This window comes from Homo sapiens, chromosome 7 (assembly GCF_000001405.40).
Source record: "Homo sapiens chromosome 7, GRCh38.p14 Primary Assembly".
Taxonomy (NCBI): Eukaryota; Metazoa; Chordata; class Mammalia; order Primates; family Hominidae; genus Homo; species Homo sapiens.
This window is the reverse complement of record NC_000007.14, coordinates 131,774,121-131,776,485: the sequence shown is the minus strand read 5'-3', so window position 1 is coordinate 131,776,485 and position 2,365 is coordinate 131,774,121. Positions and strand designations below refer to the sequence as shown.

General features: G+C 47.7%; 1 annotated feature.

Moving 5' to 3' along the window:
• Positions 1,238 to 1,738: an enhancer, noted in NCBI's record as "H3K27ac hESC enhancer chr7:131459507-131460007 (GRCh37/hg19 assembly coordinates)". NCBI's record gives its function as "activates a minimal SCP1, AML or CMV promoter by ChIP-STARR-seq in primed H9 embryonic stem cells {active_cell/tissue: H9 hESC(primed)}" and the evidence as "EXISTENCE:reporter gene assay evidence [ECO:0000049][PMID:30033119]".

Sequence of the window (2,365 nt, the reverse complement as noted above, 5' to 3'; positions counted from 1 at the left end):
ATGCATTCTCTGGTATTTTGTCACAGTGGCCCTAGCTGAGTAGTACAGGCCCTAAAATGAAAGAAACTCAACCAATAGGAGAGTAGCAGAAGATGATGTCGGAAGACCTACAAAGGTTAGGTTACTTCACAAGTCACACACTGGTAAGTGGCAGATCCATTCTTGGTGTGACTGACTGCCCTCCTCCTACTGCAATGGTGGGACCGAGATGTGGCTTAGGGCTCAGGTTAGAGCTGCAGGCTGCCAGGCCTAAGATAAGTCTGAGCTGGACTCGGCTCACTGAAGTTTGGGGGTGATGAGGCCAGAGTAACCCCTGGGAAGCTAAAAAGGCCTTGCTTACCTGAGACTTCCATGAGATCATCAGAGCATCACACCTGGTTAGCCAAGGCCCCCATCACTTGGGTAGTGTCCTCCAGTAGGACAGGGCATCATGAGGAAGGTCTGGACCTGGACTTTCAGGTCAGACAGGACCTGGAAGTCTCAGGCAGCATATGGTGGGCAAAAGGTGGGCAGAGCAGGGCCCCTGGCGGTGGGGGCACTCAGGAACTACCCAAAGATCCACGCAGCCTATCAGACCAGCATCATCAGAGAAATCTCCCAGCGAGGGCCCCATCCCAGTCACATGAATGGGAGTGAACAAGAGCCAGGCAGGACTTCTGTCTGGTGGGCCAGAGTTTCCTTGGACTACGTAAAAACACTGAGACCCAAAGAACAAGCCAGAACCAGGATACGAAGTGAGGATCAGGTTCCCAGGCAAGGCAGAAGCTCATCTGTTAGAAGCGCTCTGTTCTTCCTGGCTCTTAACTATAGACAGCATAGTGTCAGAGCTGGAGATGACGCTGGCTCCAAGTAACCCAGGTGTAGGGAGAAGTGACCTATGGGAGAAAGGGCCTGGCCAGACATACCATGTGAGTTAAACAATGCTACCCTAGTCCCTGTTCTGTCACAGCCCCCTCTGCATCACCGAGGGGCCACTTAGAAACACAAACTCTCAGACCCCACACCCAAGACCTGCTGAATCAAAATCTGCACTCTAACAAAACCCCTGAGTGATTCAATTAAAATCTGAGCAGCGTGCCTTTTTGGTTACTAATTATGCCCCTCCAATTAAGTGTTGATACCCGGAACATAGTAGGTGCCCAATTAGAAAACCATTGAATAAATAGGGGATACGAGTAAAACTTTTCCTTTCAGAGAAGTCATTAACCCAATGTCTTCAATGAGCCAAACCTAAGTGGCATGTCAGCCTCTGAGTTTTAAATGTTGTTCACTCTCTGGGTGAATGGTGGCTAGTTTCGTTCCCCTCATCTTTTATTACCAGATAGAAATGTGTATATAAGGTGAAATCCAAGTTCTTTTTTAAGCCTTTCATTCCAAGGATCATCATAATCAAGGAGACAGGAAATCTCCAGATAAGAGACAGTAGAAGGATGAATTGATAAAAAGAAATTGCAACACCAAGTCATAGAGCTCCTGCATTTCCTCAGCAAAGAGAGACTGTGGAAACTGTAGCTCCCTCTCCCACTTCCAAGAATGACAGGAGGCAAGCCTGGGCTAGTCCTCCCTGCCCTGAAGGGTTGGTGCTGACCCTGCCATCATCAAACGCATTGCTTGTGGCCCTGAGCAAACTCTCTTCCTAACTCTGTTTTCCCCCAAGGATTAGCTGATGCAAGGGTTTTGATAAGCATTGGTTGATTTCAGTCACTTACATTCATTGCTCAATAAATAAAAAGGCAAGGATCAGCCTGAGATGTGGGTAGTGGAGGAAAGTATTCCTTTTACTTATTTAGAGATAAAAGGGCCAAGAAGAAGAGTCATCGGCCACAGGCTCCCAGAAGGAGGCAGGAGGGAGCTGGGAGGAGTGGGCGGGACTTTCGGCTATCAGGGCCCTAATGCCAAACAAGGGCAGCCCAGGAAAGGGTTGAAGATGGTGTCGAGAGTGGGCAGAGCACAGGTCAGGGTCCCCTACGGGTGACGGCTGTCGACGAAAAGAGTCAAACTCTGTAAAATATTTGAAGAGATTTATTCTGAGCCAAATATGAGTGACCATGGCCCATGACATAGCCCTCAGGAGGTCCTGAGAACATGTGCCCAAAGTGGTCCAGGTGAGCTTTGTTTTATACATTTTAGAGAGGCATGAGACATCAATCAAATACACTTTAAGAAATGCATTGGTTTGGTCCAGAAAGGTGGGACAACTTAAAGCAGGGACTTCCAGGCTACAGGTGAGTTTAAACATTTTCTGGTTGACAATTGGTTGAGTTTGTCTAAAGACCTGGGATTGATAGAAAGGGAATGTTCTGGTTAAGCTAAAAGATTGTGGAGACCAAAGTTCTTTCAAAGTCTTATAGTGGCTGCCCTTAGA